Raw genomic sequence first — 26,342 nt, 5'->3', positions numbered from 1 at the left:
GGGAGGTAGGGTCCCCTCTGCACCTAGGCTCAGCTGCAAGACTGAGGCAGGTGATTGGCCCCGCCCACCTCTCAGGTTACATTAAGCCCCCAGCACATTGTCCCAGAGCCTTGCACATCTTAGAGGGGGCAGCATGGTTCCTCCTATGACAAGCACCAGCCCAAGCCCCAGGATTTATGAAGTTGCTTTGTTTCGTTTTTGAAGCAGGGCCAACGCAGTGTTATAGGTTCTTGCTTCCCAGGATTGGGCAGATGCGAGTGTCTCTGTAGTGACTTTCTTTTTCTCAAGTCCACGGAGACAAAAGTAAAATTCACTTTCAGAAAAGATCTGTGCCCTCTTTTATTTTCAGTCAATACCAGTAAATCAAAACCATATCATAATATCACCAAAACTCACAGAGTCTTTCACCCACTTATTTCTCTGGCACTGATATTTTCTCGCCATGTGTTCACAAAACTTTCCCGAGACTGCACCATCTGCAGGTTTCTGGGGTCTCTGTGTGGAGCTGGTTCTGTACGCGTGAAGAGCCACGGGTTCTGGATTAGAATCTTCTCCCAAATGAGGCAGGAAAATAGGGTCTGGAGGCAGGGAACGCAAAGCCGATTCACGCTGACTTCCTAGAACTAAATCAAACGGAAACTCATCAGCTATGACAGGAAATATCTTCTCCATTTGCATACAGCGTACACCAAGTCAATGATTTTGTAACTTTATTTCATCCTCTTCATTTACATAGGGTGTACACCAAGTAACCAATGGAAACCTCTAGAGGGTATTTAAACCCCCAAAAATTCTGTAACAGGGCTCTTGAGCCCCTGCGTTCGGGCCTGCTCCCACCCTGTGGAGCGTACTTTCATTTTCAACAAATCTCTGCCTTTGCTTCTTCATTCTGTCCTTGCTTTGTTTGTGCATTTTGTCCAAATCTTTGTTCAAAACGCCAAGAACCTGGACACCCTCCATCAGTAATCCAACAGTGGGAGCCCTGCTTAGCCCACCTCATCCCAGTCCTCGCCCTGCAGAGTAGGCTTGGGGGGACTGGGCAAGCATCAGGAGCAGGGTGTGCTGCGGTGCCCCCACCTTAGGACTGCTCCCAGAGGTTGGACAACAGGAGTTGCAGCTCAAAGGACTCTGCTTTCTGAGCTATGAACACAACATAACTGAATTTCTAACTCGCTGGTATCCCACAATGACCCAGGTGGTTTAAAAATTCCTGACTCCCAAATCCCAGGCACTCATGGGGCTCAAAAGTGGAGTTCTGGGAACAAATCTGGAAGCCCCCAAGCCTGTGATTCCTCTGAGCAGTGTCATCCTGCGGGAGTTACAAAGCTTTCTTAGCACCAGAGGAAAGGGGAAGAGAGAGGCAAGATGGCGGAGAGAGAAAGGGAGAGAGAGAGCTGGTGTGGATCTCTCCTTCTGACTCCTCCCTCTGAGCCCGTTTCCCAGTGACACTGGCCCAGGAACCAGGAGACGGGTTTTAATCTCGACCCTGATGCCGGTTGGCTGTGCTCCCTGCCGTCTGGCTGTGGGCCCAGCATCTGTAGCCAGGTGCAGGACAGGCAAGGTCCCAGGGGAGGGAACATCCAGCATGAACCTCCAGGAAGTGGACAGCACAGACTGGCCAGCCTCTCTCCCACCCTGGCTCCCTTGCAGCAGCCTGAGCAGCAGTGATCCGAGTCCAGCATGAGGAGAGACTGGAACTTGCATTTTATTTCTATGACTAAGCAGTTTTTGGTTTTACAAAAGAGTGACCTCAGATGGCAAGCAGAAGGACGTGGAGGTGCATCAGCTACTGGCTGTGGGATAGGGCGAGGTTGACAGGTGTGTTGGCAGCAGCCAACTGGGCATCTTACACCTGAGGCCGGGGACAGTTAATCATCTCTCCCTGGGTCACACAGTTCCATAGGAGTGGAGGCACAGAAGGGATGCAACGAGCAGGTCCCGACCTCCAAGCTGAGCCCCCACCTCCACTTCACTCTGCCTCCAGAAGCATGCTTCACGGTGGCCTTTTGTCCACACAGCAGAGCACAAGTTCCCATACAGGCAGCATCTCTCAGACCCAGAGTCCTGGCTGGCACTTCTTAGTCCCCTCAGCTCAGGGCACAGTGGAGAAAGGAGCTGAAGGTGAAACAAGGTCTTTGCATAAAATAACTCTAGAACCTTTTAGAAATGTTAACGCCACTAAGTTTTCTCACTATATAGATGTCCCCAGGGGTCAAAGTTCCCATAGGAACATACACATGAGATCTTCACAAGTCCCAGAAAGCTCAGGAAGGAGCCAGTTACTAAGGCCTCCACTACATGGGATCAAACACCAACAAATGCATTGGAAATGGCTTTTGTTTTCAATACATATATTAAATAATCTTCCCAATGATTGTTTTTAGATTTTTTTTTTTTTTTTGGTTTTGGGATGAGAGATTAGTTACCAGGTTTCCACTTTGCCTATCCAGCCCTCAAGATGTCCTGGTATCCTGCTTCCTAAGGAAATATACCAGCAGTAACAAACATTTCTCAACACCTTTTAGAAGCTGGATTGAAAATATTGTGTGTGCAACATACCAGCACCATTTGCAATACCAGGCACACTACATGAACAGAATTGCAACTCTCTTGACACAAAGCACATTGCTAAGGATATCTTTTTAATGGAAAGGGATTAGATGAAATAGAGTTGTGAAGGTCAAGAATTTCCTAAGTGAGAGAGAGCTGAATGCAATTTCATGAATATTATTGGCTGGTGCAAAAGTAATTGCGATTTCTACCATTAAAAGCAATGACAGAAACCGTAATAACTTTTGTACCAACCTATACTTTTTAAAATTCATTAAGCCATTCTTGAGATGCAGGTAGGGGTGCTGGATAAAATATAGGACATCCAGTTAAATTTGAATTCTAGATCAGCAGTAACAAAAAAAAATTAGTATATTTCATGCAATATTTGGGATATGCTTACCCTAAAAAATGTTGGTCAATGGTTATCTGAAATTCAAATTTACCCAGATGTCTTGTGTATTTATTTGCTAAATCTGGGAACACTAGATGGCGGTTCTGGCAATCGCATCTGAAGTAATCTTGTTTACCTTCATGCAGTCATTTTTCACTTCTTTTTAGGAATGGCCAATCATTCTGCAGTTCACACTGCTGCCTCGTACGTATTATGGCTCTTAATTAAATGCTTTTGGTGTTTAGCATTTCTAGTTCATGACAACACTTTCCCTGCAACTGCTTCATTATCTCTATATTCATTGAGATCAAGTTCTGCAAATAATTTTTAAACTGTTATTTATCCTGTTATTACTTGTTTTTTGGTTTGTAGAAGCTTTTTGTCCAATTTGTCTATAAGGTTTGCAGGCTGTTACATTTTGAAGAAGAAAATGTGAATATGATTAAAGTCTCACTTATGTTTTAAAGCTGTTTCACATTGCTTTGTTATCCATATGTGGAAGCTGAGTTTCTTAAATATCAAGCACAAGGTAACTGGCCTGACTGTTAATTGCTTGGTTGCCTGTAACAGAATCCCAGAGAGACTAAAGGGGGGATTGTTGGGCTGGCAGAGGAGCTCAATGGCAGGAAGTGCAGAGGGGGCCTCTGGAGGGACTTCCCAGATTCCCCTCTCCTGTGCTGGCTCCCTCTTCCCTCCCACCATCACCTCTCATCACTCACCCTCTACGACCCTGTGGAATGACCTCACTGGCAGTCCAGTGATCTCCCCTCAATGAACTCACAGCTTCCCCTGGTCCACATTTACGTCACTTCTCCATCTAAACACCCAATAAAGACCAATGAGATTCATCGGGTCTTGGGTACAAATTGTGGGATAGAGATTCCGATGGGCCCCATCACTCCTGGCTCAGCCCTTTAGGTCCAGGCAGAGTGGGCTGTCTGGGCAGCAGGTGCCATGTGATGGATAATTCACTTGTGTGTTGACAGCAGAAGTCTTGGATACGTTCTACCCAATCCAAGGATCATTATAATAAAGTTGGGAGGAAGGCATCCAGCTTCATGTATCTGAATCACCTAATCATCCAGTGGAATCCCTGGCAAATAGATTCTGGACCAAGGTGTGCTTTGGGGTATCAGGGGTGATTGTACCCTGCAGCCATCGCTCAGAATCTTGGCTCAGAGGAATTCGTCTTGTTTATACATGCCACCCACTTCTGGAAATAAAAGTAAACATTACCAACTCAGTTCAGGATCCCTAAACCATTACTAATTAGTAAGTGGGTTGCAGTTACCGTGCAAATAGTGGAGATCGTCAACTGGGGCCTATTAATAGGAAATTCATAACGTTGCTAATGAAACTATATTTAAGTGTGTGTCTATGAAGGACATGTTTTCTGAAGATTATATACAGACAGGCAGAGCCTGCTGCAGTGAATTCCACACCCTCAGGGACCCATCTACAGTAATTGGGTGTTTCCCTTGGCCATTACATATATCATCTCCCCACCCTGGCCTTCTCCCCTTTTTCCGTGTTTGTTGATTTTGATCTGTAGTTAATACCCATCAAGACAAAGTAGAAAATAGCCACAAGCAAAAAGAAAAAATGTATATTTCCCTACCACCCACAGATAAAACATAACCACAGTTGAAAAAGTGGGATGACTCTGTATCTACAGTTCCTTTATGTGAGACATATCCCAAGCATCTTGCCGTGCCCATAAAAATGTTTTAATGGCCACAGAGTGTTCCATGGCAAGGGTGCGTCCTGATGTTTTCACTAGCTCCTTGTGTTTGGTATTTTGGATGTTCCATTTTTTTCACTGCCGCAGTCAATGCTGTAATATGCATTGCTGAAGCTAAACTTTTGCATAAATACATTTAAATAGTTTACAGTTGTGGTTTTGATTTCATCTTTGACCCAGCAGTTATTTAGAAACGTTTTGTTTTGCTTTGTTTTAATTTTCCAATGCCTGCAGTTTCCTGTTTATATCTTCATTATTTAACTCTAGTTTTATTGCACTGTGGTCAAAGAATGTGGATGGTACTATTTCTGCTCTTAGAAATTTATTGAATTTTTAAAAATAGTTAAATATACAGTCAATTTTTGTAACTATCCCATGGGAACGTAAGAAGATGCTGGAGTCTTCCTTTGTAGACCATACCAGTCGACTCTTAGCTCTCAATTCAAGCTTATTAATCATATTCTTAAAATCCTTGCTCTCCTAACTTATTTTTCCATTTTAAGTAATTTCTTAAAAGCCAAGAAATTATCTGCCACGACTACTTATTTCTGGCAAATCTCTTTTTATCAATGTCAATTCAGAGTGCTTTGCTGTTGTTTTTATTTGGTTTTAGCTTTAAAGTCCAAGGCAGATCACTTCTATGGTCTGATTGAATAGCTTTCTTCCTTTGTTAGATATTTTTCTTTAGGAACAGAAATTATAAGTACCTTGAAACCATTATGTCTCATCAATAGCTATTATATTTTTCCTAATATTCTTCATTTCTTTACCATTTCACTTTAACTTAGAAGAGCTTTTACAGATTGACTGATTCAACTTTTTGAAGTTTGATTGACTTTGACTTTTTCTAATCCCGTTTTAAATTCTGTTTGTTACAGACTTATTTTTCTCTTCCCAATTTTCCATAAGTCTCCCACTTCCTTTTTCATCCCTGTCTTATAGTTCATCTCTTACTGCACAGAATCTATAAAAGGGGAAGAAGATGATGTCAAAGTTTTCCTCCTGTTTCCAGTAGTAAATGTGTTTAAATCTGTTTTCTCCTGTTGGCTGTGATATAAGTTAATCTCCTTCTTTAATGTTGCAGAATCTTGTCATGGATAAGCGTGTTGGCTTGGGTCAGTCACAGGATACAGTCTAACCAAAAACAGCGTGAGACACTCTGAGGGTCCTCTTCTTTCCGGGTACATTTGCTGTTTCCTGCCCCTTACCCCTGCTCCAGACTTCCAGCTGGAGGCCGGTCGGGTCTCAGCAGCCCAATGGCGAGCAGAACTTTGTCAGCCCCTTGGTCAGAAGCTCTCTGCCGATGCCTTCTCCGGCAAGTGAAACCCTCACACCAACCCCTCCTTGTCCACGTCTGGCTGTCCGTCTAGCCAGGCCACCACTCTAGTGCCTGGGAGACTTTAGCTAGCCCTCTTTCTGGCACCACGCTCTCCAAATTGAGGGAGTGCCTCTTCCCACCCAGAAGGAAACTGTGGGTCACAAAAGTGCTCAGGGAAGTCGCCTGCTGCTGCTGGGGCCAGGAGAAGCTCCCTAGAGATAAACTCCACATCAAGAAGTCTTTGGGCTGCCCCCCTGCCCAACTTGGCCTTCTCTGGGGGTCACTGCTCTGCCAGGGCAAAGGGATGCCAAGAGGCGTCTTCACTTTGGCCCACTCTCAACTGGAGCTCTGCGTCCCCAGGCTAGAGTCTCAGGAAGTTCCCTGAAACACCCACTTCCAACAGCCACAGCCCTCACGGATCCCTGGGGAAAAATGTGCTGCCTTCTGCGGCCTCAGCTGTGTTGTCCCGTGTGCATTTCATCCAGCAAAAGTTCCTTATCAGGGCCAACTGCGGTGGCTCATGCCTGTAAACCCAAGGCAGGTGGATCACCTGAGGTCAGGAGTTTGAGACCAGCCTGGTCAACGTGGTGAAACTCTATCTCTACTAAAAATCCAAAAATTAGCTGGGCATGGTGGTGGGCGCCTGTAGTCCCAGATACTCAGGAGGCTGAGGCAGCAGAATCATTTGAACTAGGGAGATGGAGGTTGCAGTGAGCCGAGATCGTGCCACTGCACTCCAGCCTGGGCAAAAGAGCAAGACTCCATCTCAAAAAAAAAAAAAAAGTTTCTCTGCAGGCTCGGCCATGGAGGTTGTCCCTGTCAACTCTCAGTGCTAATGACCCCCCTATGCATAGGCCCCCACCTATGTTTGTTTTATTGTCAATCTTTCCATCTGTTTCCAGGAGAGAAAGAGAATCTGGACAGTTCATGGGAATAATAATATAGCTACTAAACCAATAAGGCACTAATTATATGCCAAGCACAGTATTAAGAGTTTAATATTATCAGTCCATTTCATCTTCATGAAGCAGATACTATTAGTAGTATTATTGCCATTTTACAGATGAGGAAACTGAGGTGCAAAGAAGTAAGTGGCTCATGCCCCGTCACACAGCTGCTGAGTGTCTCCAATGATTAAACTCAGTCCAGCTCCAGGGTCTGCATTGAGTGCACCCTAGATGCCTCTCCATGTGCTGCAGAGAACAACCCCAGCTGCAGCGTGATCCCGCATTTAGGTGCCCAGATGTTAGAGAAGGAAGAACATGGGAAATGGTAGGGCAAGCTTCAATTCTGGCTCCGACAAACAATCTCAGAGAAGACCTCGGACCATATGGCGGTTGTAAAATAAACAGGTTGTACAGACAAGAGCCTTTTCTTTTATGTGATCCCCCAAGACCCAGGCCAGGACTGTTGGAGCAGACGCCACCTCTGCAATTATCGGGAGAAGCCCTTGAAATGGCCTTTCCACACGTGCTTCAGAGAAGCAATTGGCAAAATCATCACTACTTCCTTGCATGAGAGACATAGGAAAACGTCTTGACCAGGACTCAGGTTGCCATCAAGCACTCGGGCTTCAAACTCTACCTCTTTCTTTTAGTCATCTGCAGCAAGCTCAATGTGGTGTCTTTTCCATCTCAGGCACAATATAAAACTTAACCTGGCAAATACAAAGCATGTCCCCAGAGTGCTAAGTCACTATCTTATAGCCAGTGCCCCAGAATCACAGAGAGACGAATGGTGATGTCTTTTGGGTGGTGGAAGACACCACAGAGATACTTGAACACTTTTCTTTGATGCCACCTCCCCACTCTGCAGCTGTGTGATCCCACCAAACCTCCCCAGCTCCCCCTGCCCTGCCTGCTCCCCTCCGCACACACACACCCTAAGCTATTGAGAATCTTCTCTGGAAGCCATGGAAAAATCACTACCATTGTTTCATCTAAATGGGACACACTCCCAACTGTTTGTTCTCTAACTACCAAAATGTTAACTTCATTGCCAAGGAATCAAAGTTTTTAAGAGATATTGCCCAATTAATTCTATGACACATAAACAGAGGTGTTTGTGGGGTTTCTACTTTCCTTAATTAAAGATCTCCATGGAGAAATAAACAAATACTCTCCATTCAACAACATTTAGATAAGAGGTTGGGAATGCTTCACCATCTAAGGCACAGAAACTTCTAAGTGTCAGGAGGTATGTGATTAATTTAGGGGATCCCATGGTCTTCCTGGGTGATCTCAAGCAAGTCTCCATGCCTCAATTGACTTTTCCAATCTGTAAAATCTTGCAGGGATATTAAGATCAGTCAAGGAATGTCTGTAAAGTGCTTTGAACTCCTAGAGTTAGACATTAAATAAATACCCAGTGTTATTAGAACTCCACTGGGGCACTAGAATGTTCGAAATGGGACTTTATTATAAATACTCTCTGAAGTTTGCCAAGAATAAATTGAATGGGCAAAGGCAACATACTTGGCTGTAACTTAATCCAAACTTGGCTTATTTGCCAAAACTTGGCATCATGATACATGAATAGGGAGTTCTGGAGAGAACATGAAAGGGTTCTATTATTCTGAGCCAACAGTTTAACCACATTTCCATATCTTCCATTTATTTGTTCCGTTCTTTAAATTGCTGCATTATAGAGGAAAGCAGAAGTACAAAATAAAACTAAAGGACCATAAGCCTGTTTGCATTTTCCTACAGTTAATACGACTGAATGTAAGCTGGTATAAAGACCAGAGAATCAACCCCCACGTCAGTTGACTAAGATAGATAGAAAAAAAGATTCCCTTTTTTAAGTTCACACAGCAAAAACCACAGCAGTACTACACGGCCTTTGCATGACAATAATATTTCTCTGAGTCGATCAGAGAAAGCTATGCCTACAATCAAATTAAGTGTATTTTGAAGTCTAACATCTTATAAAGAAAGCATGATTTTCCTTGCATTGGAAGAAAGTTTAAAATTGCAAATTCAAAACTTTTACATTGCTTTAACATGTGCATTATCATTGGGAATTTTCATAAGGACATGACTTGAGTGAATTATCATGACTAAGAAGCAGGACATTCATTCTGTGTCAGGAAATCAATCAGGAGACATCTCAGGGTGCAGAGAAATTCCCAAGACTTGGACATTAGATTTCTGGAGTCTGATCTCACTTCTGCCATGAACTAACTGTGTGCAAAAGTCAAATCCCCTTCTTGAGCCTCAGTTTCCTGATCTGTAAAATGAGGGCAGAGATACAAATTACTCTCTTCTTCAAACAGCCATGTTTCTCAAAAGCATTACAAGTGAGAATGCAAGCAAAGTAATACATTCCTGGAAGGAAATAGCCCCAAACCAAGGCTTACACCCTCACTCATACCCAAGAATAAACTTGAAATGACATTCTCTAATCAGCCTTGATGTCTAAGTTTTTCCCCATCACCTGCTGACAGAAAAAAGAAAATGACTTCATCTTGACAAAACGCTGGGTATTTTCAGCAGCAAACCTCAGTCCCTGTGTGTCAGAGTTTAAATTCAGCACATATTCTGAATTCTTGCATCCGAATAAATACTTAGAGGTACATGTCCAGATATGTTTCCTAGGAGATTAAATTCTCCTGTGTTGGGAGGCAGGGTTTGCCCAAGAGAGACTTTCACATTCACTGAGTTGCATATTTTCTGTATCTGTAAACGGGGAAAAATTATAACGTTCCAAATGACTACTAAAGTAGTGCACTTGGGTGTTTTTTTTTTAATCTTGAATGCATGCTTTTGGCAAATCAGAAAACCATCTGGATTCTCTAACTAATCTTACGATGGAAAATAAATGCCCACCAACTCAGCCTTGAGGAAAATGTGGGTGTTGGAAGCCATGCATGCAACCAGACCAACTTTGCACAAGTTCACTTTCTTCCAAGCTCCCAGCCCTCGAGCCACAGGAAAGCCGCCGCCACCACAGCCAGACACAGCTTTAATTGGGGTCTGAGCTTCGCTCGTGCTGCGTGGCTCCAAGAAAATCTATTCTTTAAAGTCTGGGGGAGAAACTGCAAACTTGCCCAGTCCTTCAAGAGAAAATAAATGCCAGATATCTGGACCCTTAGGAAGCTACTGACTCCCAGACAGTGAATTGTGGTCATTGGATTCTGGGGGTCTGAGGATGACTACACTCTCCCCAGGAGTCATCCTCCCTCCCTCTAGACAGGAGACGACAAGGCAGAGTCTCACTCACAGTGCATAACAGGTAGAAGAGACCTGGGAGGCCCGGTCTCTTCCCCACTGTGGCAGGATTGGAGAAGCACCCAGTCTCCTGATCTTCCCAAGGGCTCTTTCCAAGCACAACATCACCTAGATCAGAGGACCCCAACCTCTGGACCGAGGACGGGTCCATGGCCTGTTAGGAACTGGACCACACAGCAGGAGGTGAGCTTTACTGCCTGAGCTCAGCCTCCTGTTAGATCCATGGTGGCATTAGATTCTCATAGGAGCACCGACCCTACCGTGACCTTCATACCAGAGGGATGTAGGTTGCATGCTCCTTATGAGAATCTAATGCCTGATGATCTGAGGTGGAACGGTTTCATCCCCAAACCATCCCCCCACCTCCCACACCCTCTGTGGAAAAATGGTCTTCCATGGCACTGATCCCTGGAGCCAAAAAGGCTGGGGACTGCTGACCTAGAGGGCTCTTTAAACACAGAGTCTGTCTGAGAGTTAAATGAGATAATGCACCTAGAACTCTTAGCTCCAGGCCCCAAAGCATGGAGGAATGTTGGCTATTGTTCTTACTAAAGATGTGGATTCCTCTGCCCCTGTGGTGCTGCCCTCCCAAATGCTTCACACCATGGCATCTGCGGGGCCTCCCAGGTACCCTGGTGCAGGTGTGCATGACATGCCCCAGAGCCGGCGATTTGGGAGCCCCACTGGTCAGTGCACTGGCCAGCCTGTGAACAAGAGCTCCTCATCCCCAGCACGGCTGGACAGTAAGTAATCAGAATTCCTTCACCGTGCACTGCGATAACACAATAACCAGTACTAACTATAAAACATGAAGGGAAAACCGATCCTATTTCATACCCCTGTGTGAACTAAGTGTTCCTGAGAGCATCCTGTCTTGCAAATTCCCTCAGCCACCAGAGGAAGTGTCCGGCGTCCACCTCATTGTTCTAGCCATCCTGACATCAGGCTAATCTCAGCGCAGTCGCCTCTCATCCCCTTTTCCACATCCTTGCCCAGAAAGGTCAGTCACCTGCTTGCTTCAGAGTCAAGGTGGGTGCTTTCTAGCCCTGCTCTGAATGTTTTCCATCTTGCAGAAGGTGGTGGGAGGAAGTGGAAGTTATAGCTGACAACCACACACACTCACATGTGCACACCCACTCACACACACACACATGCACAATGCATACCCACTCGCACACACATGCACACCCACACACGTCAACACACATGCACACATGCACACCCACTCACACACACGTGCACACCCACGCACCCCCCCACACATGTACACACTCACACATGTGCACACTCACACACGCACACCCACACACGCAGACGTGCACACCCACTCACACATACACACCCACACACATGCATACCCACATACTCACAAGTGCACACACTCACATGCACACACATGCATGCCCACTCACACACACATGCACACCTCCCCCACCCTCACACTTCCATATTCACATGTACATACCCCCACACACCAACAGTTGTGTACCTGATCAAATGTGTACATATACTGGTATGTATTCACATGTGTACCCACATGTTCACACTTTCATACCCACAAATACACATGCATACACAAACTCACACCTACACACCAAAATACAGAGGCAACCTATAAAAATGCATGCTGACAATATGGGGTTGCTGACCAAATCCCTACACTTGGGCAATCACTATCGGGCCCCTCCCGTCCTCAGGTCACAGGGGAGCTTGTTCAATGGATGCCATCACAATGACAATATTCAGGTTTACTAGACAAGAATCCTCCAGCCTCTTCCTACATTTGCTCAACTTACCCCACAGCTATATGTGGTTGTGCAAGGACCAGCCTTCCACAGCCCTGCCTGGCCTGGCAGAGCAGGCCGGAGAGGAGCCTCCCCTCACTCGCAGGCAGAGCTTGGGTTTTTAGAGTTCCAGCTATACTTGGGGATCTTCCTCGAGCTTCACCCCACTTGGAAGGGTCCACATTCCCTGCTGCTCTCTCTCTGAGCCTTCTTTTTTATTTTGTTAAGATGAAGCTTGGCAGCTCAATGAGCTGAGCACCCTGACTCGTATTACTTCTAGAACACTGACACTTCCATTTCAAAAATGCACATGACAACATTTCCAGCAGCAGGCTTTAGCGTTTCACATGCTTACGAATTCCACTCAGCTGACACCAATAGATTATCAATTTATTCTATGTCAGAAAAGCAAGACTGGTCCTGAAATGGCGCTGTCAGGCTTGGGGCAGATCCTCAGGCCACGCTTGGTGTTTGTGGCCGTGTCTTCTTCCCTGATCTCTTCCCTGATGGCCAGGGCATCCCTCAGCCCCTCCACTTCAGCCAGAGTTGATGCCAGGCACAACCTGCCTCCTATACACACATGTGAGGGCTCCTGTGCCCGTGGGAAAGACCAGCTGGAGCCAAGACCTGTCCTCAGCCCCAAGTGTGACCACCGCCCCAGGCTTCCCCACATCCCCCGCACACTCAGCATGGGCTCATTCAGCAGCTGTCAGAGGTCAGGTTTGGTGCAAAGACAATCAAACCGGAGGAGGGGTCGCTGCAGCAGCTGGCCCCTGGGAGAGTGCTCTGGTGAGATGGGCTCAGGTGCCAGGGGCTCTGAGGGGCTCCCAAGTCCAACAGGGGGTTAGGAAGGGCTTAAAGGATGATATGGGGTTACTGCCCAAATCCCTGTACTTTGGGAAATCACTAATGGGACCTCCTTCCATCCTCAGGTCACCCAGGAGCTATGCGCATGGGAGACGAATCAATGACAGGGGAGCAAAAGCATGAACCCATTTATGCTTTCGTTCTTGTGGAATTAATTATAAAAGCAAACAATAGATGAAAACAGCTGCAGTCATCTACCAGGACTGCAGTAACAAGTACCGCAAACTGGGAGGCTTAAGCATTCATTCTCTCAAAGTTCTGGAGACAAAGATGTTCAAGATCAAGGGAGGGCAGCACTGGTTCCTTGCAGGGCTGGGAGGGATTTTTGTCCCATGCCTCCCCTTGGCTTGCATGTGACTCCTGCCTGCGTCTCTTCATGTCATCCTCTCTCTGTGCCTGTCTCTGCCCCCAAGGTTCCCATTCTCATAAGGACCCCAGCCATTAGATTCTGGGCCTATCCTAGTGACCTCATTTTCCCTTGATTACCTCTGCAAAGACCCCCTCTCCAAATAAGGTCATATCTCAGGGGTTAGGACTCCAGCATAAGAATTGAGAGACACAATTTAAGCCATAACAAAGTCCAATGGCAACGATTACTCAAATCGTGGTTGATTATAAACCATTTCAAAGATGGATAAGAATACCACATAGGAACATGGGGAATGCTTGGGCTGGGATGTGAAATAATAGAAAAAAAGATGCAAGAGAACACAGACAAGTGAAAACCATGACTATTTTTGGGTCAAAACTTCATACATGATCTTTGTCCTTTTTTTTCCAAATGTGATTTGATGTGGCTCGATGACATTTATAATGTGTGTTGCAGCCATTGTCCTGGCAGCCACTAGCCCATGTCCTCTCACCTGTTCTGGGAAGCCAGGATCAGACCCATACAAATGATCCTTTCAGTCATTGAGAGACTGGCCAGGCAAGGAAGTCCAAGCAAAACTCAACCAAGTGTCCGGGGGACACTGCAAATCTCCTCACTGTAGTACAGCAGCTCCATTATCGACAGATTGGCCACAAAGACCACAACCAGGAACTCTACCTCCTACCCACAGACAGGCTGGGACAGCAAAAGTTTCAAGCCTTTCTACACCCTGAGATCTAGGAGTTCTGTCCAGATAATTCCACTGGGTCCGGAAGAGCAAGGACAGATGCTTGCCCTCAGGCCTGGGCACAAGACTGCACTGAAGGGAACAGGAAAGAAGCGAGACCCCCTGGCATCATGGCATCCTGTGCCATGAAGACCCCAGCCCTCCCAGTGGGCCCATTAGCCTGACATGAGGGAGAGTGACTGCTATGTGTCCAGTAGCTCCCTGAGTTGGGCCACTCCTGGCTCCTTAGGAACTCCAGCTGCCTCTCCAGGATGAGGGAGCCCTACATGACTGAGGGACAGTGAGCCTCTCCTGGACTTGATGGCCACATAGCCTGGGGATGAGGACACTGGTGTGACAGATCCACCGGACGTCTTGGGCTCAGAACATGTGGCCAGGCCATGGTGACAGCCAGCACACAGAGAAGTCAGTGACACTGCTCCAAGCCAGGCTCCTTGTGGGTGCAGGGCACCATGCTGGCCGGGAAGGTGGTAAATGCCAACTGGAAGTGGCAGCAGCTGCCTCCGCCTCTCTGGCGGGAAGTTTGGGCTCATCTTTGAAGGCGGATTGCTACTCAACTTTGGTAAAACCAAAATCCTCTCCCAAGATGGGGATGTTAGAGATATTCAAGAACTAAACTATTTGTGTTCAGTAAAGAAAGTCAAAGGCTGCCTTTGTTGCAGGCAGATTCGTAACTCGGAAAAGAATCATGACAGGGAGAGCAGCCAGCCTTGGGGACAAGGAGAACCCTGTTCTCCTTCCAAGCACTTGGGGGTCATGGACTCTGGCAAGGAGGCTGTGGCCAATGGCAGCCCCAGCAGGGAGGGAGGGGGAAGGTCCCTAAAACACAGCTGCAGGGGTGAGCTGAGTACCAGGGGAGCCAGAAGGTTCCACCCTAAGCAAGGCACATCTGGGAGTAGGAGTCCTCAGATCTGGGAGACCTCGCTAAGCTGACTTGCCCACATCATAAGCTCCCCACTGCCCTGGCCTTTAGTCAGGTTGTGTTAGATGTGAAAGCTCTGTCTTTGCTTGGCTTTGAGTCATTAATGGAAATGGTTGTGTCTCTGATGGGGAGAAGCTGGGTTCAGAGGTAGCAGAAATTAGCCTGGAGATGTTCAGAGGGGGTCTGCAAGGGCCCTGAGCCAAGGTTCAGGGGGACTGCTGGCTGCTGTGACCATGACCGCCAGGATGGTCTTGGAACAGGCATCCCTGGGATGACCAGAAGTGTGGTGGGGAATTTGGCCGAAGAACGAACTTCCTGCAGCCACACGGGATGGGGGTGTGGACTGGGATGTGCTTATTAAGAGGCCCCCTGGGGGCTGGGTGAGGTGGCTCACACCTGTAATCCCAGCACTTTGGGAGGCCGAGGCATGCAGATCACGAGGTCAAGAGATCGAGACCATCCTGGCCAACATGGTGAAACCCCGTCTCTACTAAAAATACAAAATTAGCCAGGCATGGTGGCACACTCCTGTAGTCCCAGCTACTTGGGAGGCTGAGGCAGGAGAATCGGTTGAACCCAGGAGGTGGAGGTCTCAGTGAGCCAACATCATGCCACTGCACTCCAGCCTGGCAACAGAGTGGGACTCCGACTCAAAAAATAAAAAAGAGGCCCCTTGGGGCACAGAAGTCAGGAGCTCCAGAGCATGATAAGGTCTTGGTCCTTATCACCTGGACCACCGACCCATGAGAGTTAGTAGCAGCTAGCGATGGAGTGGCTCCAGGTGTCAGGAAATGCCAGGTGATACCGTATAATAACCTAGCCCCACATCTCAGCCTAAACAAGAGGGTGTTTCTCACTTAGACACATGTCCCCAGAGGGACAGCTGGGGCTCTCAGCCACTCCAAGAACCAGGTCGATGGAGCAGCCTCCATCTCAAACTGGGCTCAGGGAAAAGAGGGTCCTGGAGGGCCTTACCTCGGCAAATAAATGCCCCACTCCCAGATGATGCACATCTGCTCACAACTCTGGACTCATCGCGTGGCCCCACCGACCAGATGGACATTAGAGGTACAATCCCAGCAGGCCCCAGAAGGCAGCAGGGGACACCACTAGCTGCCCCTCCAGAGGCCTTCTGCACTCCAGCGAGAAGCTGCCCTGTGGCCTGGTATTTGCAGTCGCAGCTGCTCCCTGCCTGGCCTTCTCCTCGTAGATGGAATATCGGAGAAGTTATCACCAAATCTCCAACCTCCCCTCCAGCTGCCAGCTCCAGCAGAATGACAGGGGCAGTTTCCCCAGGTGGGCAGAGTTTGGGTTCTGCCAAGAACACAGTGAATTTAAACACCACCAACTTGTGTGGCTGGCTGAACCACAATAGAAAAGCCCAGTGCCTGCATCCCGGGGTGTGCAAATTTACTCAAGTGTGTGCCGTGACCTACAGGTCACTCCAAACTTCCACTGTAACTTCAACCTACAAGAAAATGATTCATCCTTGATATCCTAAGGAGAAGACTTAAATGGAGCATGAGACAGAGATGTCCTTCATCTTGAACTGTTATTTCTTTCTTTCTACTAAGTATAGCAACACAATTCCATCAGTAAATGTAGAAATTCCTCATTGAGTAAGAACTCTCAGCCACAAAGCACTGTCTGTCTGTAATTACATTTAACCCTCACATTGTAGTTGCAGACAGCAGTCTGCAAGCCCCATCAAGGTTGAGTGATAAGTGGCCTCAAATCATTCCAGTGACCTTCCCTTCGTCTCTCCCAGGTTACTTTTGCCATTTGATCCAGATTCAACAAGACCAGTTCCCACTAGCCCAGAGGCACCCAACCAGTGGCTGGAAGGTTGAATCCAGCTCCCAAAAATGTTCTGTCTTCACTATTTTTAAAAATTCAATTAGTTGCCAATATTTTTATGATTAATTTTAATTGGAAATTTTTTTTAAATTTTCACATTTTAAGATATACAGATATCTGGCTTCCCCTGACAACCAAAGTGATCCAAAGGCCCTGGGTTTGTATCTCTGCTTGGAGAACATCAGATGGAGCCAAGGGGCTGGGCCTGGGTCATCTTCCTCCACTCCCCAGCCCTCCCATGCCACCCACTCCTCCCTGTGACCTGCCTGGCCTGCGACAGCTAAGGCTGTGGCCCCTGGAGGGTGGTGCCATGAAGATGTGCTCTTGATACCCCAGCCCCCAGCCCCCAGCGTGATGCCTGGCTTGTGGCGGGGGCCAATGGTGCTCGTTGAATGAATGATTGAACTAGTGGGTATTCACTTAGAGAAACATGCTGGACCTTTCCATCAGGAACTTGTGCTGACACCTCAGCTCAGTCTCTTACAGGGTTTTTGGCCATTTGTGTATAAAAACATACATAAAGTCTGTTGGAAGGTAGGGAAGATACACAGGGGACTGTGCCCAGCTTGGCAAACCTCTTGGTACCTCGAGTTGTCTGGCTGCTCAGGTGAACGGAGAGGTCCTCCCTGCATCTCAGCCCATCCTTGGGGTAAGCCGAGGCAGTGACCAGAACTACTCTCGTCCTAACACCTGTTCTCTCAGAGAAGTCACCTGTGGGCAGGTGGGTATCACAGGCAAAATTCACCCCATTAAAGGCAGGAGAAGCTATAATCCCAGCACTTTGGGAGGCCAAGATGGGTCAATCACTTGAGCCCAGGAGTTCGAGAATAGTCTGGGCAATATAGCAAAACCCCATCTCTACCAAAAAATACAAAAATTAGTCAGGTGTGGTGGCACTCACCTGTAGTCCCAGCTACTTGGGAGGCTGAGGCTGGAGAATCCCTTGAACTCAGGAGGCAGAGGTTGCAGTGAGCCAAGATCGCGCCGCTGCACTCCAGCCTGTGCTACGGAGCGAGACCTTATCTCAAAAAAAGACAGTAGAAGCCACCCTGGCCTTGGCTCTCCCGAGAATGCAGAGAATTCTTAGCAGCCGAGTTACCCACGGTACCAAGGACCTCGATCAGTTTCCCGTTGCTGCTGTAACAAATCACCACAACGTAGCCTAAAACAACCCACATTTACCATCTTTCAGTTCTGGAGGCCGCATGTCTGACATGGGTCTGCAGGGCTGAAGTCAACGTGTGAGCAGGACTCTGCTCTCTCTGGAGGCTCTGGGGAGAATCCAGTCCCTGCCTTTTCCAGATTCTCAAGGCTGCCTGCATTCCTGTGCTTGTGGCCTCTTCCATCTCCATAACCCACAGTTAGATCACGCTGTTTTCTGCTTCCATCCCCAAATCTGCTCTCCTGACCGACTCTTCGTCCTCCCTCTTCTATATTCAAAGACCCTTATAATGACATTAGGCCCACCTGGAAAATCCAGAATGACCTCCCTGTGTTAAGATCATCTGCTTAACAACCTCAAGTTCATCTGCAATGTTGCTTCCCCTCTGCCCTGTAACTAACATATCCACAGTTCCCAGGGATTAGTATGGGAACATCTTTGGAGGCTATTATTCTGCCCACCACAGTCATATTCCCAGGAGTAATGAGACAATGGAGAAGTCCTGCCTGCAGGAATTTTCATTCTAGCAAATACATCCCTGAGCAAACACAAACACAGATTACGGTAACGCAGTGCAACTGTGATTCCAACCAGCTGAGGCCAGTCTTGAAGGGAAAATAGGATGCAATCCATTAAACTCAAAGGACTCTTCATCAAGTGCTCACCATGTGCCAAGTACTACATCAGATGCTTGGAATAAGAGGATAAATAGGAGAGAGCTGCCATAACAGAGCTCACGGGTTAGTAGGGAACAGTCCCAGTGGCTGAGGCCTGGTGCCATCCACATTCTCAGGGCAGGTGGGGCGGGCAGGTGGAGAGACCCCAGGTTTCAAGCCATGTCTTTGGGTAAATTATTCACTTCTTTAAAACTCCACCAATTTAGCTGCAAAGTGGAGATGAGAATGGCTACTTCCGAGGGCGTGGTGGGAAGGGGGAGATACCGCAGGTGGTGCCTGATGCATCACTGCACAAGGCTATGTTGAGTCTTGTGGTCATGGTGGCCACGTGGTCATTGGGGTGGTGGCTGAATTTCCACGCAAGCCACATCAGAGCAGTTCCAGTCTGTGCTCCTGTCATTCCATCCTTGGTTTTCTCTCCCTCCTTTGATCTTACAGAAGCACCAACTTCTCCCTACCCCGTCATTCATATCGCTCATGACTCATCTGCCATCTTTTTTTTTTTTTTTTTTTTTTTTTTTTTGAGGCAGAGTATCACACTGTCGCCCAGGCTGGAATGCAATGGCGCAATCTCGGTTCACTGCAACCTCCACCTCCCAGGCTCATGAGATTCTCCTGCCTCAGCCTTCCGGGTAGCTGGGATTACAGGTGCACACCACCATGCCCAGCTAATTTTTTGTATTTTTTTTTTTTTAGTAGAGACGGGTTTTCACTATGTTGGCCAGACTGGTCTCGAACTCCTGACCTCGTGATCTGCCCACCTCGGCCTCCCAAAGTGCTGGAATTTCAGGTGTGAGTCACTGCGCCCTGACTCATCTGCCATCTTTTAACCTAAAGGAAGAGGAGAAAGGCAGCTCTTTGGACAGCTGTCTGGGAAGACCAGTCCTGCAGCCCCTTAAGGAGTTCTCCTTCCTGCTGAAATTGGCACTGTCTTTGGTGGCACCTCAGGCTGGCTGTACAAAGAGCGTGGTCCCACTTCAATTTGGCCAATTATTAGCTATGTGACCCCAGACTACCTGCATAACCTCTCTGGTCATCGCATATAATATCAGGAACTGGACCAGTCAGGTTTGCACATTTTATTTTTCTTTTCTTTAGCAGTGGTACCCTTTCTTCAGCAGAAATCTTGAGTAAAATGCAGTATGTGAAACCAGTCAGAAGGAGATGTCGGGGACCAAGAGCCCTGCCTCCTGGTGACCCATCACCTCCCTCCTGCTGTAGAACCCCTGAGCTGCCCTCAGAGGAGGCACAGGTTGAAAGGCTCCCACCTGAGTGGTCCTGGAAGCCCCTTTTGCACTAGGACTCCTTGAGCCTCTGCCTTCCAGACCCATGGGCTGTCCTGTGCTTTTTTTCCTGTTGGTTTTTTTGTTTGGTTGGTTGTTTTGTTTGTATGTTTTGTTTTGTTTCGTTTTGTTTTGTTTTTGTCGCCCAGGCCAGAGTGCAGTGGTGCCATCTCCACTCACTACAACCTCCACCTCCCAGGTTCAAGCGATTCTCCTGCCTCGGCCTCCCAAGTAGCTGGGATTACAGGTGCCCACCATCACGCCCGGCTCATTTTTGTATTTTAGTAGAGATGGGAGTTCACCACGTTGGCCAGGATGGTCTCAAACTCCTGACCTCAGGTGATCTGCCCACCTTGGCCTTCCAAAGTGCTGGGATTACAGGTGTGAGCCACCATGCCCGGCCTTTTCCTGTATTTAAATTGAGATTCCATATGGTTTTGTAGACCATTTAGAAATAATAATAATAATAATAATAACCCAGGGATGTGTGAAATGCTTCTGTATCCTCTTCTCCATTGTCAAGTTTGCCGTGATCTTCACTCGCATGATTGCACCGATCTTCACTCACACGATTGCACCGGGAGGCTGTTGCCTTAGTGCCTTTTCCAATTCAGACCAAGGACAGGCTTCTTCCAAGCCCAGTTGACAGCCCTAGGTCTACTCTGTCCCCTATCAATATCCTGTTTCTGTGTGTGGCCAAACAAAACAAAAAAAATCCCATGATTCACCCAGAAACTGTGCCTAATGATAGACAAATTAAATGTCTATAACTTGTTGTAATTACTTAATAAAGTTTGTCGAGCGCTTAAGAATCCATCTGGATGAAAGAAACATTGTTAATGTAAAACATGATTACAGCAACAACTACAATCATGCCAAAATTCCAGAGTCCCACCCCCTCAGTAAAGAGCATGAGCTGTGCCATTGGTATTCCGCCGCGGGATGCTGCCATGCAAACCAGCATCCCCGCCGGCTCCTGTGACATCTGCCCACCCAGGGTATTTGCTAACAAGAAGGATGGAGTGGGAGGTGTAAAGGAAAGAAGTGCAGTCCTCCAAAGTGAAATTATTCCCTTGTCTCCATTCTGTGAAAGCTCCGAGTCCAAGTGAGCTTGCTAAAATGTCAGCCACGTGCCTCAGTGATTAGGGCTGCGGTTTGGGCAGCCTGTCAAAGATTTTCCCAGGCGACGCTCAAGCCCCTTCTCAGCCCAGCGCAGGAGGTTTGGTGTTTTTACTGCAGGGCAGTCCAGAGTTTCTGGGAGAGCAAGTGATATCCTATAAGCCATCCACACACCTTCATTCCCCACATGCATCCTAAACTTTAAGTTAATGTTCTGCCTTTTCTTTTTCCCATTCAGGGAGATTCACATGTTTGGCCAAGATAGCCTGTCCCACTGACAGGACCGTAAAGCCAATCCAACTGGGAGGAGAGCCAGGGAGGCTGCGTTCGTGGACTTGAAGAGTCTAACAGGCCTGCTCCTGGAATTTCATCCCTCACTCTCCCCACTTCTCCCTCCAGCCCAGCGTGAACTTCACTCGTGCCAAAAAATCAACTGCATAAGAACAGGATTAAGCAGGAGGCTGGAGACGGAATTAAATAAAGTGCATGAATGAAACCTCAAGATTTTCTTAACTGTGAACTCACCAAGAGCCAACACAGCGGAGCTTATGAAATTTCACTAGGTGAGACTGTATGAGTGCTTCCGCACCAAGCCAAATTCAACCTCCCCATAGCTTCCCCCCAACATTTCTAAACCTGCCCTCTGGAATCATACCGATCAAACCTAATGTCTGAATGAATATGTTTATGCCCAGTGAAGCATAGAAGATGACTGCTGGGCATCCAAGTCTTCCCTTTCCCCAAATGAATTTTCGTGGGTCTCCTGTCCCTTGCCGCCCTGACAGTTCGCCACCCACTCATCACGTTGTGGGTCGACCCCAGTTTAGGGCTGCTGCTCCCATGAGTAGTTTCTTGAGCTGCTCTTTCCCTGGAGCTGTCCACTCTGATGCTGGAAGGGCTTCAATTTTGGGGTAGATCAGAGTTTCTCAAACTTAGCTCTATGGATCTTTTCACCCAGAGAATTATTTGTTCTGCGAGGTGGTCCTGTGCACTGTAGGATGTTTAGCAGCCACCCTGGCCTCTACCCACCAGATACCAGTAGCAACCCCCTCCCCGCAGTGACAAAAATGTTTCCAGACATTGCCAAGTGTCCCTTGGGGAACAGAGTCCCTCCTGACTGAGAACCACTGGGGTAGAATGTTTGATTAGGGTCCCCTTCAACTGAAAGGTTCTAACCATTCATGATTCCATGAACTGCCCACATTTTCTCAAATCATCAGCTCAGTTCAGATTGTGAAACCACTAAGAACACAAAACTACTTTTAAAAAAGGAGCTGGTGTTTTGAAAGTTCCCCATGAGTAATAAAAAGATGATGATGGTCAAGACAAAATTGCAAAAATGCCCAGTCCCCTTAAAATGAAAGCAGCAGGAAGAGCGGCAGCCCGGGGTGGAGGGAAGGGTTGGTGAAACTGAATTCCTGGAGGATTTCCCTCTTTGGCCAAGTGGGTTCATAGCAGAAGCTTAGCAAATGAACTTCACAAAATGTTCTTTCCACCCGAAAATGGTGGTCTCCTGTAATTTTAGCTGGTGAGAAGAGGGAGGAAATAAAGGAGCCAATGTTTAAATGAAATGAAATAGAATCGCTTAGAACCCTTCAGATCAATGGCTGGCTGGCTGAAGCAAAATCTTTTTTAAAAAAAATTGAGAGCCAGCCTTCTGACTCCTCATTGCTGGCTGAAATATGGCCAGAACTGTGAATTGGTTTAAAAGTTTAGGAGAAAGTCTGACCTGAGATTTCAAAGCATCCCATTTTAAATTGAAACTAATTCTTAAATCCACAGGAAGAAAGACCATGCCATCCACGTCCAATGCATTGTGAAATTTCATTCCCGGAGCCCAACATTGGATGTCAACTCAAGGAGATAATTCCTTCCCTTACTGGCTGCCTCTGAGGAAAACATCTGTTTGGCTTGATTTTCTTTTATATGTTCAGACCAGTGGCTAGGACTAACAGGATTGCTTCTAAACAAGCTCTTGCCCTGTTCTCTTTCCTCAAGCTTTTCTACCTGGACCTTCACTGTGAGGCCCACATGGGTGTGCGTGGGGACTGGGTGTGAACCAGCTTCCCCACTCACACCTCCTGAGGACTTTCTGTTGTCCCAGGAGCTCTTGTCTCTGTCTCAGTTCCAAATGCTGAGTAATTCTGAGCACACAAAAAGGACCCAGAGCAGAGAAACGTCCCTGGTCCCAGAACTCAACAAAACCAGAGTGTGAGTGAGAGAATCCCAGAGGCAAAGGCTAATGAGAAAGCAACCAAGCCCCCTGCAGTCCCTGGCCTACATTCCAAAGCCTTATTGTTTTCCAAAGCATTTCCTCCGAAGTGACCCATTTTACCCTCTGAGTCCCTAGTGATGGAGAAGGGCTGAGTAACTGCCTCCTCACTGTATTCCATTCTAGCCTAGGCAGCCATGTGCTGGACACTTAACCTCATGGGTGAGTGGGGTGGAAGAGCCCTGACTTATAGCACTTGCCGATTTTCATGGTGTCAGTACTCCCACTGTGGCCAATGTCAAACTACCAGTGTGAAGTCAACTAGCTCCCCCAATACCTGCAGATTTAACCACAGTTCTTGCAAGCAAGTGTGAGTCATCTCCAGCATTCCAGAGTCTAGGGCACCCTCCCCTGTGTAGCACCCACCCCCCTCTCAGAGCTCTGACATACCTTATTTACTCTTGTCTCATAAATGCCAAAGGGTTAAAAACATTTTTGGCTGGAGAACCAGACACTTTGGCTCTGTAAAAGGCAAAAGGGGAGTTTGAGTATATTTTAGTTTGCTTTTTTTTTCTTTAAATAAGAGAAAAGGTGACTGCAAAATAGTGCAGCAAACTCTAATGCACTCAACTGAGAGTTCTAAAAAATACACACTGTACCCTACATCAAACACTGCTAGATTCTGATCTCCCAGAAGAGGGAAAGGTGGTTTATTTTTCTTCAATTCTTCTCAACCAGAGAATGGCCTGCCTCATAAAATGAAGTTAATCTTTATTATACATCAGAATTGCTTTTACCCATTAATTTTTTATTGCAGCTGAATATTGATAATGTCTCCCAAAATAACTGATTCTACTTTACCTACTGTCATGAAATTATTTTATAATTTTAGATGTATCTTTAGTGACAGTAAGAACAAAAATAAGGTAGCTTTGTAGCTTGACTTGAAACATTAGGGTCACTGCTTCCTCAACATTTAAAAAATTACCACTTTTGATGAAATTACGGTCATAGGATTACAATGTGTGCTCTACTAGAATTCTCCAGAGCAAAAAGAAAAATTGAGCAAATGGGAAATTCAGGACTAACCATCAGGAAGAGAAATGGCTTAATATACATAAAAGAAACTCAATAATAACCTAGTCAGGCTAGGAAATGATCTTTAACATAACACATCAAATAACATAAACATCCAAATCAACCTGAAGCCCGTTCCTTCTCACTCGTGTTTCACCCTCATGCTTATGCCAGATCAAAAACAGCTGGAAAGAGTGGAGAAAAAAGGAAAAAAATGCCCATTCACCCCCCAAGAATTTCAAGGAGACAATGGGCATGGCTTTATCCTGATGGCTGATCAAACTGGGTCAATTTTTAATCCCTTCACTTAACCTAGGGCTCGGGGGTGGGGGGCAGAGAGGGGTGGGCAATGGGAGATAAGAATGACTTCAGAGCTGACTGCTGGACTCCCTCTCAAGCAAACTCACCAAGCGCTCTTAACTTGGAAGCAGCTCAGGTCATTCTGTAATTTGCTAGGCAGGTCTGCTATCATGCGTCATTTAATATAAAAGGCAACTCAAGAGCCAACACAGCAAGGTGGTGCCAAGACTCAGTCACCATTAATGTGCATATTAAAGGCCAGCAGACTGCATAGTTCAGTTACAGCACACAGTCATCAGTCATGTCTGCTGTAACCCAGAGACTCCCTGAGACAGCCCATAAAGCCATCTAACTCCGACGGTTTACAGAGGTTAACCTAAGAACAGTGATTACAGCCACAGAGTTGACACACGTAATTAGGTTAGAAAAGCTCTGTAAGTGAAACTGAAGACAGACTCTTATGGAAACAGATGTTTATCCCACTAATGCTGCTGGGTGTGTGCCGTGCAGTGTGTCTGTGCAAAGCTGGGGTGTGAGCATCCTTTAACTCTCTTGCCTGATTCCAACTCAGAGACCTCTGTGTCCTGGAACACGATTGCACTAGCCCGGGACCAGCCAACTGTGGCCCGAGAGGTCATGCCTACCTGGTGCCAGACTCCTCACCTTTCTTGCAACCTTAGACTTACACCAGGCAGGGAACAGATGGGAATCTCCTACAGAAAGACACCAGCACAGCCAGCATTGCCAAAGAAAATGTGGATAGTCAGAGCAGCATGGCATTCACTCCTTAACGCCCTCCAAAATGCCACTTTCTACTGCACAGGTGGAGAAGGAGCCAGTCACAGAGGAGGCTCCAAAAGCGGGGAAATGGGATAAGCTAGAGGAGGCAGCATGCAAGAGGCTGTCAGTGGGCCCTCCTCCCTTCTCATGTAGAGAAGGAAAAGAAATGGCAACATGGAAGAAAGTGGTGAATGAGAACAGGGGGAGATGCCAACACCTGACTCCGCCTCCACCACCTCCAAGCGGCTTTCGTTCTGGGTCACAAGTGGGAGAAAGAAATCCTGCCCCGCAAAAAGGGATCCTCACTGCTTCCCGGAGCAACCTAGCATGGAGCACTAGTTCTGCACACGCCCCTGGTTTCCTTAAGAAATGTAAGCTCCGGGAGGCTAGGGGAGGGATAGGATTAGGAGAAATACCTAACGTAAACGACGGATTGATGGGTTCAACAAACCCATATACATGTGCATTAGTGGGATATACCATGGCACATGTATACCTATGTAACAAACCTACACATTCTGCACATGTATCCCAGAACTTAAAGTATAATTTAAAAAAAAGTGGGAAACCAACAATCTAAGAATGAGGAGAAAACAAGGAGAATGACCCCCTTTTCTGTACTCTGTAGGTTTTATGGCACCTCTACTTGCCAGAGTAAAATGGAAGTAATATGGTCTTTGTGCACATTTACACTGAAAAAAGAGCCCTAAGGTTGATCTGTAAACTATAGAGTTCCTAGGTCCCCTTTTACTGTTTTATTTTCTGCCTGCTTTAAATCTGCTGTTACCTTTCTACTGAGATAAAAACCACTGTTTGTCTCTAATAGGTTTTTGTTTGTTTGTTTTGTAAGCTGGCAAATTTGTATTTATCTCACGGCTAAAGTACTGAAGTAAAAACTATAGAATCTTAAAAAGAAAGAAAGAAAGAGAGACAGAGAGAAAGAAGGAAGGAA

The 26,342-nt window shown here is 46.8% G+C and overlaps 3 annotated features.

Moving 5' to 3' along the window:
• Positions 12,165–12,664: an enhancer, noted in NCBI's record as "H3K4me1 hESC enhancer chr2:237580793-237581292 (GRCh37/hg19 assembly coordinates)". NCBI's record gives its function as "activates a minimal SCP1, AML or CMV promoter by ChIP-STARR-seq in naive H9 embryonic stem cells {active_cell/tissue: H9 hESC(naive)}" and the evidence as "EXISTENCE:reporter gene assay evidence [ECO:0000049][PMID:30033119]".
• Positions 12,665–13,166: an enhancer, noted in NCBI's record as "H3K4me1 hESC enhancer chr2:237580291-237580792 (GRCh37/hg19 assembly coordinates)". NCBI's record gives its function as "activates a minimal SCP1, AML or CMV promoter by ChIP-STARR-seq in naive H9 embryonic stem cells {active_cell/tissue: H9 hESC(naive)}" and the evidence as "EXISTENCE:reporter gene assay evidence [ECO:0000049][PMID:30033119]".
• Positions 22,976–23,652: an enhancer, noted in NCBI's record as "H3K27ac-H3K4me1 hESC enhancer chr2:237569805-237570481 (GRCh37/hg19 assembly coordinates)". NCBI's record gives its function as "activates a minimal SCP1, AML or CMV promoter by ChIP-STARR-seq in naive H9 embryonic stem cells {active_cell/tissue: H9 hESC(naive)}" and the evidence as "EXISTENCE:reporter gene assay evidence [ECO:0000049][PMID:30033119]".

The sequence above is a fragment of the Homo sapiens genome, chromosome 2 (assembly GCF_000001405.40).
Source record: "Homo sapiens chromosome 2, GRCh38.p14 Primary Assembly".
Lineage (NCBI taxonomy): Eukaryota > Metazoa > Chordata > Mammalia > Primates > Hominidae > Homo > Homo sapiens.
This window is presented reverse-complemented; position numbering and strand designations above follow the sequence as displayed.